This window comes from Homo sapiens, chromosome 20, assembly GCF_000001405.40.
Source record: "Homo sapiens chromosome 20, GRCh38.p14 Primary Assembly".
In the NCBI taxonomy this organism is placed as follows: domain Eukaryota; kingdom Metazoa; phylum Chordata; class Mammalia; order Primates; family Hominidae; genus Homo; species Homo sapiens.
The window spans coordinates 20,573,835-20,589,398 of record NC_000020.11 but is presented as its reverse complement, the minus strand read 5'-3'; the positions used below and the strand labels follow the sequence as shown (position 1 = coordinate 20,589,398).

Here is a 15,564-nt window from a genome sequence, read left to right as displayed (position 1 = left end):
ATTTCCGCTACCCCCCTGCCCCACCATTTCTAGGTCAAAAGGCAGAAAACACACAGAATTCGAGTTCTTCAGAGCCTCAGCCTATTCAAGAGAATAAAGGACATGTGAAGAGAGAACATGAAGGAATAACAGTAAGATATTTTCAAGCCATTTCAGTTTGTCATTAAAAATAAACATTAATTAGTGCTCAGTAAGTAAATTTATTGGTGGCAGTGATAATTAAAATATTTTTTTCCATTTAGACAGTTTATAGGCCCAAATGATGTTGAGATCTTTTAAGATTTTGCTTGCTTTCTATGTAAAATTACAGTCACATTACAAAAATAGGAAAAAAATTAACATGAAAATGGAGTTCACCACCTGGTCTGTGTATGGCACTGTGTATTTTTAAGCAGTTACCTTTGCCTGTTAAACCTACGTTTCAGATTCCCCATTCCTGACATCCATTTAGGTAGCCTCTACCTGACATGAATTACTAGAATCAGTGAGTATTCACAAAGATGTTAGGTTTCTTAAAAAAAACAAAAAACAAAAAACATAAAATGGCATTTATTTAAATATATATAAAGTATAAAGAAGAAAATTAAAACATAAGCCCATAACTCATTCATGCAGATAACCCCTATTCATTTTTTTAAAATGTAGCATATATTCTTAGAAAACTCAAACATCACAGAAAGATACAAAATAAAAAAGGGAAGGCCTCTCCTTGCTCCCCTCCCACTGGACAATAACCCATGTTATGTTTCTTTTTTCTTTATTTTTAAAAAGGGCATGTACCAGTTTACATTTGTATATTCTGTTTTCAGCAATGAAATAAATACCCAGAAACCCACCATCAGCTTCAGATCATTTTGGCTTCTACACTCCTTCCTTGTTCCCTCTCTCTGCTATCTCCCCTCAGAGAGGGGCCTTATCTTGGCTTTGTGTTCATCATCCCCTTGCTTTGCTCTGTAGTTTTGCTATGTAACTATGTATCTCTAAACAGGATGTTCTTTAGTTGTCCTTACTTTTGAATTTTTTAATAAAGTATTGTTGCTTTGTTTACTCAGTTACATATTTTTAAGATTTATTCACATTGTGCTATGTAGCAATAGTTCATCAAGTTTTCTGTGATGTGGTATTCCACTATAAGTAGACCACAATTTATTTTTTCATTCTCTTGTTGGTTGACATTTAGATTGTTTCCAGCTTTTTGTTTTTGTGAAAACTGTAGCCATGTACATTCTTGTATGTGTTTCAGCATCTGCATGTTTAATGTTTTCTCTATGATGGCTATCTAGGAATGGAATTAATGACTTATAGAATAAAATAATTTCTTTACAAGATAACCCCTGTTCTCTAAAGTGGTTGCATCACTCATATTTTTGCCAGCATTGTGTAGAGCTCCCATTCATCTTCATTCTTGCCAACACTTTCTATTATCAGATTTTTTCATTTTTATTGGTCAACTGAGTGAAAATAAGATGTCTTATTTTGTATTTCTTAGACTACTAATAAGGTTAAAAATCTTCCCATATGTTTATTGGCCATTTTTGTTTCATCTGTGAAATGCCTACTGATGTCCTTTGTTGTTTTTCTATTTTTTGTCTTTTTCTCTTTATTTATATTTACTAGCTCTTTGTATGGTATGAATACTGATCCTATTTTGGTTATGTTTGTAGCAAATATCTTCTTCCAATATATGGTTTATATTTTTACCTTCTCTAGGGTATCTTTTGATGAACAGAAGTTCTTCATTTTGATATTCTCTATTATCATTTTTATTGTTGAGGCTTTATGGAATTTTTTAAAAGTCTCAACTACACAGGAATAAAAATATTATATTTATAAATGTTTCAGGTTTGCTCTACAAATTTAAGTCTTTTATATATTTGGAATTGATTCCTGTTTATGGAGTGAGGTAGGGATCCAATTTCATTTTTTTTCCTGAATAGATAACTACTTGTGTCAGGTCCCATTTATTGAATTAATTTTTCTTTATTGATCTGAAATGCCACCTCTCTTTCATATGTGCTATTTCTGAGATATGTAAGGCCTCCTTTTGGTGTTTCTTATCTTGATTCTTGGTTACTTTATCTTTCGGACAGTACAACATCTCAGTTACTATAGTTTTCCCACCTCTTTCTCCCTTTTCCTTCTAATGGAAGTTATTTTTCCATAATCTTTTGTCTTTCTTTGTTGCTGAGAAGTCTTCTGTCCATCCGGTCCTGTCTGGTTATTGTTCCTTGCTGTTTTTGTTTGTCCTTTTCCTTCCATTTCACTATAGTATATTTAGGTGCAGGAATCTTTTGGTTCGTATGTTTGTTCTTTTTGGTATATGCTATGTGCCATGCATCTGTAAGTGCTTGTCTTCTGTCATTTCTGGAAAATTCTTGGTAACATTTCTGCATATATTGTCTCATTTTTTCCTCATTGGTACAGTGGTATCTCCACCTGTTACATGGGACACTGGGGTTTTAAAAAAAAGAACACAAATATTGCCTCTTTTATATTCTCTCTTTGCTTTCCTCCTGGAATTCTGGGTGGAAATATATTAGACTTTCCCATTCTGTCTTCCTTGTCTCTTAAATGTTTTTTATATTTTCTATTCTCATTGGCTTGGTGTTTCCTGGATAATTTTATCAGCTCTGTCTTTCATCAGTTCAGTAACTTTATCTTTACTGTTAATATTTCCATTGAATTTTTTAGTTTAGCAATTATGCCTTTTATTTCTGACAGTTCACGTTTATACTTTTCAAGCATATCTTGTAATTTCTAATAATCTTTTGTTGCTTGCTTGTTTTTGTGATTCCAACTTTTATTCCTTTAAAATGTTTACAAATTGCAATTCTGAATTTTTTATCTGATTATCTGAAATCCTTGGGGGATCTAAATCTGATATTTGTTGTTTCTGAGATTCTTACACATGGTGATTTATTTTCTTTAGTGTTTGGTGATGTTTTATTATGGGTTCCTAGCTGGCTGATCTTAATCTGCAGAAAACGTGGATTTCTAAATTGATGACATTTCAACAGTATGTTTGCATTTGTTTCTTGCACCACATGGAGAGTGCTACTTTAATCCTGGAGTCTTGGTCCTCTTGCCACTGGCAGTGGTACTATTGGATTTACCCTTGCAATAGCCACGTTTCACTGCCCTGGTTTCTGCTCACTTTTAAGGGTTGAAGGTAGATTTCTTGGAAGTTTCTTTTACTTCCTGTGAGCCCCAAATTGCAACTAAAGTTTTATGTAGGATCTGGTTCTATGGCTGGGAGGTATTGTGTCTCTCATATAGTTAGAAGCAGAAGAGTCTACATTCTGTTTTTTAACTAAGGAAATATTCTGTGCATATTTCCTCTTAGCACATTAGATATGTATCATTCTTCTTTAAGGCTGTGTAATAGTTTTTTCATATAGTGTTAATCCTCTAAATCTTCTAAATATTTTATTCATGGCTTGCTTTTTATTAGCTTAATAATTATTCTTTCTTTTAATTTTTTTTCCAGTTTTGCCATGGTCAACATTTGTGGGGCATTCTTTTTTTTCTTTTAACTCTACATCTTGTTCCCCACTTGAACCTAAGGTTCAAGGCCCACTGGCAGCTGTGTCTTTTTAGAAGGTCTGCATTTCTTATTTTTGTCCTTCTTCACCTGGGTGCCCTGCATGGCCTGGTATAACCAGCATCTCTTCCTGTACATAGAACTTGCTGATTACCACCCAGTACTTCCTGCCTTGAATCCCCTCCTGTCTTCCCTCTACCACTTCATGTCCATTGCTGTCTTGAACAGCTCTCCTATAAAGCTGAGCCAATTAAGGCAACAGTTTATTCTGCATCCCCTTCAGAGGCAGTTTATTTGCATATTTTGCTTATATACATTATAATTATTTTGTGTAATTTGTGTATGTTTTGTCTCTCCAAGCAAATTATAACTTATTAGAGGATGCAGATTTCCTCCTGATTTTTTTTTAATCCTGTGAATTTAATACAAGGTTAAGCAATGCTCAGGAGAGTCTGTGGCATGCTTAACTAGGAAGACACTGAATGGACCTTTAGATCTCTGGGTGGAGTTTGCGCCTTCCCTACCAGCACACTTATCATTTGTGTGCATAACTTATGCCTCCTAGAGCATTGTGTTCACAATATATGTGTGCCTGACCAGAAGAACAAATAGAACTTTAAAACAAATTCCTTCCATATAATTTAGCATTCCTTCTTAGATCAATTTAATTGGATGGATGTAAGTTGACAAAGTAGAGGATATAAATTAAAGTTTCAGATCTTGAGTAACATAAAATTAAATATAGTGATTTGTGAAAACATATCCTTCAAATGGAAAACATCAATTTATTTAGCTATTATTATTATTTGTTTCTTTTTCTTTAGAAATTTGGGCTAGAAACTTAAGTCTTATAACAATGAAAACTTTCCTGTAGTAAATGCAATATTTCTTTTTGTCTGAAGATCTTAGTTCGAAGAAGCAGCAGCCCTGCTGAATTGGATTTGAAAGATGATTTGCAGCAGACACAAGGAAAATGTAGGGAAAGACAGAAGAGTAAGTTCCGGGAAATGTCTGTTCCTCCAACTACAGAGTTGATATGTTCTATTTTCTTTTTACATTTTATTATTATTATTATTAGAGACTCAGTCTCACTCTTTCGCCCAGGCTGGAGTGCTCTGGCACAATCATGGCTCACTGCAGCCTCAACCTCCCTGGGCTCAGGTGATCCTCCCACCCAATCCTTCTGAGTAGCTGGGACTACAGGCACATGTCAATGCGCTTGGCTGATTTTTCTATTTTTTATAGAGATGAGGTTTTGCCATGTTGCCCAGGCTGGTTTTGAATGACTGGGCTCAAGCCATCTTCCCACTTTTTACCTTCTAACTTGAGTAATAGCTTATCAATTTGAGAGAAATGGTTGTGAAATGGGACCTTCTTATTCCTGGAATCCTAGGATTGACAAAAGGTTCATCCATACATATAATAAAACAGTTCTACTCACCCGTACCTTGAGAGGCCTGTCTTTCTACCCCTGGACCTTTCTCCAGGTGAGTGGTACATCAGAGACTGATGGCATGAGTGAGCAGATAGACCGGAGAGAAAAATTATCTTCCCCAGAAAGTTCCCAGAGGCTAGAAGCAAAAAGCATCAGAAGTACATTGAAGTCAATGGGTTAAATACTTAGAAATGGAATGAGATTGGAATCCTGAGACGTATTATCATATATTGTAAAATACAGCCTTAGTACTCTGCTTTCCTGAAGTCAGGTGCCAGAGTAGCAAAGTAAACACCTCCTCAAGTTCAGGACAGTTCTTGATGGGTGCAGAGGAGTTCTACCTTCACCCTGCTAGCTTAGAGCTCTTTAGGAGATGAAGTTTGGGACCTACCATTGGTCACCTGGTTACTGAGACAACTTTTAGTTCTTTGTGAGTAAATAGAGGACAGCAGATTAGAAACAGCAAGAGTAAGGGACTGTTAGGAGTAGATACAGAGAGCAGCCAGAAGGGTGAGCAGACAGAGATGTAGATGCATAAAGTTGTTATGAAGTAGACAGGAGACTCTGAGAAGCAGAAGTGTCTAGGTTCATTTTATGTCAGACTAAATAGTTCTATAAGTCTTTGTGGCCTAGCCTTATTATATTATGATAAATTAGAACTTATTACTGTTTAAAGGGGAGAATTTCTGTTCTAGAAAATCTGTTGTATTGGGACACTATATCCCCAGATGACCCTGAATGAGTCACCCTAGGTCTACGTCTACCTGTCAGGCTTGGGGCATACAGCATCTTTAGACTCTTCTACCCGGTAGAGTAAACTTGCATTTGTGGTGGATCAGTTATTATCTTCTTCCTCCACCCATCCTCATTTTGTAAGTCCCAGCACACTTTAGGACTTGGTGTAGTTTGGGTGTAGGGGGTACTGAGTGAAGACACGTTGAAGAGTGCCACTTGAATGATACATAGTGGTGCTCATAATGGCTATTAATATCCTTATTTGGAAGATTCATTTTCTTGACCAAGAGCCCCACGTGGACACTTTTTGAGCTCCTCTCAAGTTCTGCAGGTTCTGCCAAAGAACATGAATGATTCCTACTGTGTCTGCTGTTTGTTTAGTTACTTTCGTATCAGTAATTGTGAACATTCTGATTTTCAGCTATTTTTTATCTTAAACTTTGGTTCTTCCATTGTACCAGGTGAAAGTACCAACAGTGACACAACTCTGGGCTGTACCAATGAGGCAGAGCTGTCCATGGGCCCATGGCAGACCTGTGAGGAAGACCCAGAACTGAATACTCCCACAGATGTTGTGGCTGATGCTGATGCCCGTCATTGGTTACAACTGAGTCCCACCGATGCTTCAAATTTAACAGGTAAATTGCATTTTGAAAAAGAGGCACTAATGCAAACAGCTGGGAGATCAGTTGTGAATCATTGGAGTCTTGTATACAGAGGGTTCTGAAACAGTTGTAGGAGGAAGTGTGCCATGCTCCTGACCACTGTCCACCATAGGAGGAAGTGATGGTATTCATGTCAAGCCTTTACTATCCCTGACTGAATTGTTCTATGCTAGAAAGAAGAGTGATTTTTCCAACTCATACATGTTATAAATCCAGGATAAGTCAAAGAGTTTAGATAGCTTATTGATTAATTTTTAAATAAAGTATTTTGATACATAAAATGTAAGTTGTAACATATACAGTATGTAAGTTACGGGGAACAGTAATGAAGTGAACACGAGTGAGTCTACTACCCAACTTAAGAACTAGCAGGGCACCCAAGCCAGTGAGGTCTCCTAGAGGTCCTTCTCAAGTCCCTCCCCTTCTCCCATTATCTTGGGACCCTAGTCCAAATTTGTTTTTATACTAATTTCCTTGATTTCTTTATAGTTTTACCGTGTGTGTCAAGCAATATATCATTTAGTTTTGTTTCTAAACTTAAAAAAAATGACTTCATACTCTGTATTTTTTGCAACTTTTTTAACCTCAGATTGTTTGACTTCAGAGCCAAACTTTCTGGGTCGGCTTCCAGGCACCTCCGAGGAATTGCTGGGTGGCCTTGAGCTAGTTATTTAATCTCTGTCCTTTTGTTTCTTTGCCTTTAAATTTGGGATAATAGCCCGTACTTTATGAAGGCTGTTGGAAGAATAAATGAGTGAACATCTAAGTCAGGTGCCCAAAATATTGTGTGTGGTGTAGTCTGCAGTTTTAGCTACACACACACAGACACACACACACACACACACACACACACACACACACTGTGTGACACTGGGTAAGTCAACCTCAAAGGTCAGTTTCCCTCACCTGTTTGACCAGGCTGATGAGAACGGGGAGGCCATGGAGGAGCTGGGTTTGGTTTTGCTTTGTTTTGTGGAGTGTCAGGAGAGACTCGTGGTCTGAGGAATCAGTGCGGGAAAGGCTGACCAGAGCCAAGACTTTTATGGATGCACATTCATGTTCACACACAGGTATCTTGTATGAAAACAACCACCACAAAGTAACATGTTAAGAGTGTTATTAAAATGCCAAAAAATATTTTAAAATGATTAACATAAAGGCTAAAATTTGACCTTAAATGGATTTTTTTTTTTAAACCAAGCAAACTGGTTTTCACTGTGATTTAAAATTTAACTAACGTCTCTGATATTTGGGAAATTCTTGATAGAATGTCATTAAAACTTCATAAAATTAACATATGAAGGTGGTATTCAGTAAAATTCTTTATAGACTAAATAATGATTTTGACTAATAATACTATACATTGATATGAGATTCAACATTTACAAAGAATTTTGAGGCATTCTCTTTGATTCTGTATGGGAAGCAGGCCAAGTCTTATCATGTCTGTTTTAGAGATGGGGAGATTGAGACCCAGAGAAATTGTTATCAAGCTGGAGTGTGAGTTCCAGAGATGAAACTGGCTTCCAAAATGTTTTGACTCAACGTGCAGTGCTATGTCTACTCCTTTACACTGTGTTCCTGTTAAAATTAAAATTACTGTAAAGCCCTTTGACCTACTTGAGAATCCTTACAGATTATCCAAAAGAAAGTCATCATTGTGGTACTGTAGGAGGCAAAACTGAAGCTTCAGTAGGTTGAATTTACTTAAACATGGACTAGTTTTAATTATTTTTATTGAAAGGGAAGAAAATTAGGTGATTACTTCTTTTGTCTGTTCTTTGGAAAGATTAGTTTTGATCCCATTTCAGGGTATGTATTGGACAGCTCAATTTAATAAACCTCTGTGAGGTAATTTTATATGATGCACTCCATGTTGTGATTAACTCCTCCAAATACTCCGTTCTTCTTTGAAATACTAATATAGAGAATCAGTACACGCAGTTCAATAGTTCACCTTGTCATCTGTGAAAAGGACAAACTGTAATGTGATAAGGCTTAAGGATTATCACAGTTCTGAATTTAACTTTCTGTTCTTAAGAGAGCAATTTCTTCATAAATGTTCAAAATAAAACTCATATGAGCCTGATTTTTAGGACATGCAAAGAGAAACAATTTGATTATATCTTTGTTTCTTATTGAATAATCCTACCAGTTATCAAATGCTTAGAATAATAAACTGCCTCCAAAATCTTAAATTCCTTCATCACTGGCAAACTGTTTACTTTTATATTTGCTTTCTCATTAAATCATGTTTGCTGAAAATAACAGCTAAATTTACTGTGCATTGTCTTAAAGTTTACCTGGGATTTGTTTTAATCAGATGTGGTAAGACATACAGACATGGAAATGATTGTCATGGAGGAAGAAGTTTATACTCACGGATCCCTGGAAACAGGGGTCATGCAGGGAAGTACCAGGAGGCAGAAGGAACAAAATGGGGCAACCGCTTTTAGTGTCATTTCTATGGAAATAGCAAGGCAAGGCAGGGTATGCAGTTTTAGGATTACTAATATGAATGACTTCAGTGGGCTCTGGAGCATACGGGCTGTTTCTAGTTTCCTGGTACCCAGTCCTAGGATGACAGGGCAGGGGATATTGACTTAGTATGTGAGAACTAGAGAAAGGAGGTAGTTGGAGGGTCTGAATTTTGAATTGGTAGGTTTGCATGTGAAAGACATGCTGCCTGGTGAATAGACTTCTATCTCTAGGAATTAGCTAACCCTGGAAGTGGCAGTCCTTCCCTGATCAGTGAGGCCCTAATGCCAGAGCATTGAGAAGACAGAAAATAAGAAAATATACTTAAGACATGCATACATTTAGTTCTGTTGAAATAGTCAGGGGAGGGGGACATTTATGAGTCTACAGCTAAGAATCAGTATTGTCATTTACCTCATCCCTTATTTAACAAATAAGCTTATAGTCTAGAAATACTGATTTAGATGCTCTGAGAAATAAAAAGATGAATAAGTCATAAGCCACTATAGTTTTTAAGAGCTTATAAAAAGGACAGAAGACACAACATTTATCCTAATAGTCACAAATAATGTGATAAATTCTATGACATTTACTTAAAGTTGTAATCATAGAGATAGACAAATAGACGGATGGAACAGAAGATAAAATATAGCACTGAGTGCACACAGACATGGAATCATGATATATGATATATGTGGCTTGTCAGGTCTGACAAGGAAACAATGTATTGTTCAACACATTTCTGTGGGACAAGTACTTAGCCATATGGAAAAAAATGAAATAGAATTCCTACCTCACGCCATGTCCAAAGTCAGTTTCAGAGGGATAAAGTACATAAATGTGAAAAGGAAAATTTAAAAACTTTTGGAAGAAAACGTCTTTTTTAAAAGGTTCTATGATTTTTTTTAAAAAATAGCTAACCATAAAAAAAGTGTCAGTAATTCAACCTCAGCAAAATGAAAACTGCATTACCAGAGAAACTTTTAAGAATTCTGTGGTTTAGCAGAACCACAAAGGGAAAAAGCCAGCTTTGTTGCTCTTTTCTTTCCATGTTCTTGTTAGCTCAGTGATAACTTTTAAAGTAAGGTTTGGTGAGAAATGTTATCTAGCATCTTGGTTTAGTTGGGAGATTCCAAGGTCTTTCTCTACTGGAATGCAGACTCCAGGAGGGGGACGCCTGTTGTCTGCTATGTGCACAGCTGATTCTTGCTTCCGAGAATATTGCAGGACAGGAGAGAAGCATTTAATAAATACTTGAATCAGCGAACAAATACACTTTAAGCTGCAAGCTGTTGTTTTATATAGCTGAAAAGAGCAATTAAATTTTAATTTTTTAGAAATAATACATAAGACAATTTCAAAATCTCTTTTATTTAGTGTGGTTATCACAGTCTTGCATCCAAATGTTACAGAAATTTTTTTGCCACTTCTGCTTTTAATTATGGCTGTGAATATGAATTACAGCTCCTGTTACCTGCCACTAAAATTGTTTTTCCAAGAATGCTTTGTCAGCATTCTCTGTCATCGCCTATATTTTTGGCATTTCCACCAGACTTTGATGTGTTTCGAAGTCATGAAATATTAGAAAGAAAAATAATAATGATAGCTACTGGGGCATTGGTAGCTCACCTTCTGAAATCTTTGCAGTGAGCAGTGGACATCCTTGAAAAGGAGTGGAAGAAGGAGAGGAGAGCCAGGCTGCACTGGTGGGAGCAGGATGCCATCTTACTGTTTCTCCACTTGATCATTGACATCCAGGCCAGGCCTGAATTTTCTGGCTCTAGAATTAAGTTGTTTCACTCAGGCCTTTGAGTTTGTTTTTTATGTTTAGTTTTCAAATCAAAAGGAAAATTTTTTTCAGAGACCGAGGCTACATTTCTTTAACACTGTGCCTAGCTTATATAAAATTGCAGCCATATTAAATCACCATTTGGCCTTAAATGCTTATTTTGCCAACTACCAAGACTTATTTTGTGGCTGAAATCCTTTCTATATTTGCAAAGTTCTAAACTTTTAGATCTCTTTGTAAAAATTATTTATGTGTTTGGAGAAAGATGATACAATTATGCTTGTAAGAGTTTTCACTTTAATAAAAAAATTTTAAACACCCGTATAGCATTAAGTAGTAATAAAACAAAAAGATAGCAGGCTAGCATACTAGGCTGCTAATGAAAAATAAAATAAAATAAATATTGGGTATTTTTAGGGTGAACGTGAAATTGTCTGAAGTCTCTTAAATTCCCATTTTTAATTAAGTGCTCCTTCACTGAGGAACCCTCTACATGTAAAATGTCAGCATCTGTTCTGTCACTTACGCCACCAGCAGAGTAATTTTGGGCAAAACATTTCAACTCATTAACATTTTTGTTCATAGTAATACTGAGGAAACTCATACAGGCATCTCAGAAACTCCTAAAGAAGTCAGCGTACCTTGATAATTTTATGGAGGATGTTGCCTAGGATTTTATCATTGAGGCATGAATTTTTCTGAGTGTAAAGCAGTACTGAAGCAGATTTTCTATGTGGGATTCTTTCATAAGTAAGGGCATATTCGTTGGCAGGTTGAAAAGAGGTGCAGGTGATGATGAGGTATCTGTCTACATGTACTTGGAGTGGTTACTCAAGCAAATCTCCAGTGTGATTGGGATGCTGGGGACCAATCTCTGTTTTGGATAGCTACATTTTTGGAGTGAAGGTTTAACCAGCGATGAAACAAAGCTGTAAATTATCTAATCCCCTTACTTTTTTTTTCTCCTCAAGGGATTGAAAAATGCCATGACATCCTTTATGAGAAAAATAAATGCCATATTATGCTTCTTGTTCACTTGGGGGCTCATGTTGATTCATAAGCATTTATTGATGCTTCAGCATACCTTTTCAGACTAACAGATGCCTGATATTGTACTTACTTTACAGAATTAGGATGATGAGTCTTTCTTCCGAGGTTTTATAAAAGTCAGAGAACCCAGAAGGCCCATAATTAGGTTTTTTGCACTCTGCCTTTCAGGCACAGTGTGTAGGAATTCCAGTTTGGATGATATTTGCACATTTTGATGTGTCTCCTGAGTTGAGTATATGATACTCTTGTGGGAACTACAGGTGTGTTTTCCTCTAAGAAGGAACAGTGCTTCTGTGTTTGGGAAGGCCTTTCCAAGACACCATGTGCCATCATTATTACATCTTTTTTTATGTGTGTCTTGGGATCTTTCCATCACTAATTTAATAAGCATAGCTTATTATAGTGAGCAGCCATTTTTGGACCTGCCCTCCTTTTCAGTTTCATTTTTTTCTTGCCTTTTGTTGCCCTTGTCATTCCTCTACTTGAGTTCCTCAGATCCAGAGATTGTGCTTCAGTTTCTTTGATTAGGCCTTAAAAATGCCAACAACATATACACTCGAGATGACACTCAGTGGGGACTGATAATTGCCTAGAAATCAGTCCGGCTTTATTTGTATGGGGTGAAGAAGAGAACTTTGGGAATAATTATGTTAATAAATTAACACAATGTGTTCTATTCAAAAATTAGGAAAAGAATAACAGAATAACATACATGTTAATAAAAAAGGAACTAATAAAGCTGAGAGCATACATGCATGTACTAGAAAGCAAATAATAGTTAGAAGACAACTAAAAATTGTTCTTTGAAAACACTAATAAAAATAGACAAACAGGCAAGACTGATCAAGAAAAAATGTTGGAGGTGAAAAGGGAACAACTACGAAACCAATATAAATTTTTAAAATAATACAGTATGCTATTCAAATAGATCTATAAAAATAAAGGATAATTTCTAGCTTTACTAAACCTTCATGTAAAAGAGAAACTTTACCTTTTTCATCCCATTCCGTAGAAAGAGAAACTCACTTCTGTTATCTACCTTATGTTACCTTGAAACAAACCACACAAGGTCAGTATGAAAAAAACATAATTAGAGACCATCTCACTTATAAACATATAAGCAAAAAATTCTAAATAAAGCAATAATAAATGAGATTGAAGAATGTTGGAAAAATATCATACATCAGGGCTAAGAGAAGTTCATTCCAGGAATGCAAAAGAAAAGCCTATGAGAAAGATATCCAATAGATTCCAATTGAGGAACAATCTATAAAGCCAGTACTCCTTAAAAACCATGAAGGTCATCAAAAACAAAGTTTTAAGAAAACTCACAGTCAAAAGGAGGCTATGGAGACATGACAGCTATTTGTTATGTGATATCCTGGATGAGATCCTGGAACAGAAAAAAGAATTACCTAAAAACTAAGGAAATCTCAATGAAGTGTAGACTTTATAATAATCTTTTAGTATTGGTTTGTTGTAATAAATATTCCATTCGAATATAAGATGTTAATAGTGGAGAAATTAGATACGGAGTATATGGAAACTATATTATTGTCACAATTTTTTATAAATCCAAAATTGTTCTTAAAAAATAAATTTTATTTTAAAAAGACTAATTCAGGAAAAAATTACCAAATATAAATGCATTAAAGCCAACAACAAAAATTATAAAATAAGTGGCTTTTAAAAATAAGCAAGAGAAATGAGTAACAAAGACATAAATTATAATAATGCATATTATTAAAGACAGTAGAGTGAACAAACACAAATAGCCCCACTTATTCTCCAAACCGTACTTAAGCCACATTGAAAGGATTTATATTAAATAAGACATAAATCCACAAGGACAAAGATGGCAGGAGAAAGACAGTAGCAACCAACTTCTTGAAGTTGCAGAACAGGTGGCCTGTGGTAAATTAATTGGCAGACCTGAGAATATTAAATCCTGTGTCAGTAATAGGGGAAGCCAAGAAACAACCTGACTTAAATTAATGCGGGTTCTCTAAAAGGGTTAGAAAATTTCCCATACCAGGTAGCTACAAAAGTAGGAGGTGATGATGGGGCTAAAAACAGGAAGACTGTAAGTCTGTTTAAGAACTAGTTAGAGCTCTGTTGCCACTGGCCACTGCTTTTTCACCCTAGAAAATGGTGAAAGTAAATTAGGCGGGTTCTGGCTTGGAGTCACCAACACGTCTGAGTGCAGAGATGCTGTCTTGAAAACAGAGGGATTAAAGGAGAGTTTTCATACTCTTTGAGCAGGAAGAGAGTCTTTTGAATTCCAGGAAAAAAAAAAAAAACAAACTCAACATACATATATCTGAGGTTCTTCAGGAACACAGTGAAACTGACCAAAGACCATGCCTGCTTATGGTTTCTGCTTCAGTTCAGTCCTGAGCATGTAGAGCTGTCAAATATGTTGTTGGAGAAATGAGTTTAAACTTGAGGAAAGAAATCTAGGCCAGAAATGGGCATGTAGAGCTGTGAGTATATGGATGGCATTCAAATATGTCTGGCAGTAAATCTGTATGAGATTAAGAGGGGCATGAGTATAGATAGAGAAGACAAAAGCTCCAGGGCTCTTCAGTGTCCACAGTCTGTGAGATGAAGAAGCACCAGCAAAAGAAGACCAGGTGAGAGTCATACCTGGGGGTCAAATGGTTGAAGCATTTCAGAAAGGAGACATGATTACCTGAATCAAATGCTGCTGAGGACTGGACATTGAGCACTACATTAAACAACATGGAAGTCTTTGGTGGCCTACTCAAGCACCATGCCAGTGGAGAAGAGGGATAGAACACATGGGGGCTGAGGCTATGACACATGAGAACAGAGACTGAACTTTGTGCAAAGGCTGCAGGTTGGAGATGTGGAATCCAGAATTTAAAAACTGAGCTGCGAGAGATTAGAGGAATGTGCTTGGTCATGGAAGCAAATAGAGATAGAATTGTCTAAAAAGGGCCTGAGAAGAAGCGTTAAATGCTGCAATGAAGTCAAAAGGATGAAGAGTGAGAAAATACAATGTGCAGTTAAAATGCTTGCCTCTGTTGATTATTACATACATACTATGAAATAAATTTTTTTGTTATAATACATCATTCTTTAAGTGGTGCCTGTGTGTCTTTGGCTGCTTTTCTGTTTACTCTAAAAATTCAAAGGCTTATTTTAGGAAGCTGGAGACGTACTCAAATCAGTCTTCTAGCCTTTACTCATACTAAAGCAACAGGTATCCAAAGAACAAAATTCTATAACTTAATCGGTAAAATTAGATATACATGTAAATCATTAAATTCTTCATTAACTATTTGTTTCAATGCACAGTTTCATATTTCATAATTAAATATATATTACAAAGACATTCTATGCCTTGAACTTGTTAGCACACTCCTATCTCACAGCCTTTGCTCTAGCTCTTCTCCCTAACTGACTCTTCCCCACAGAGCTGCACAGCCCATTTGCACATTGTCTTCAAGTTCGAGTCACATATCACTGCATGCTTAAAATCTTTAGTCACTGGAGAACTGCAAATGAAAACCTCAGTGAGATACTGCTGCATGCCTATAAGAATGGTTAAAATTTTAAAAACCAACAGTATCAAGTTCTAGCAAGGATGTAGAACAAGTGGAACTCTCTCATACTTTGCTTGCAGGAGTGCAAACCGTAACAGCACTTTGGACAACAGTTTGACAGTTTCTTTCTTCAGTTTAATGTTTATTAAGCATACACTTATGACCGGACCCAGGAATCTCACTCCTAGATATTTACTTAAGAGAAATGTAAACATGTTAACACAAAAGCTTGTACATGAATGTTTATAGCAACTGTATTCATAATTGCCAAAAAACAGGAACAAATCTAAATATCTACAGGT

General features: G+C 36.1%; 1 protein-coding gene across 22 annotated transcripts in view; it reads left to right on the top strand.

Moving 5' to 3' along the window:
- RALGAPA2 (Ral GTPase activating protein catalytic subunit alpha 2) overlaps positions 1–15,564 on the top strand; it is a 323,115-nt gene that overhangs the window by 123,246 nt on the left and 184,305 nt on the right. For all 22 annotated transcript variants that reach the window (XR_007067471.1, XR_937111.3, XR_007067470.1 and 19 more), the window contains 3 exons: positions 34–131; positions 4,444–4,534; positions 6,173–6,349. Coding sequence is in view for 14 of the 22 variants with exons in the window: in XM_011529310.3 (XP_011527612.1) it covers positions 34–131; positions 4,444–4,534; positions 6,173–6,349 (366 nt within the window). In the remaining 8 variants the exon portion in view is untranslated. The remainder of the gene's footprint in view (positions 1–33; positions 132–4,443; positions 4,535–6,172; positions 6,350–15,564) is intronic.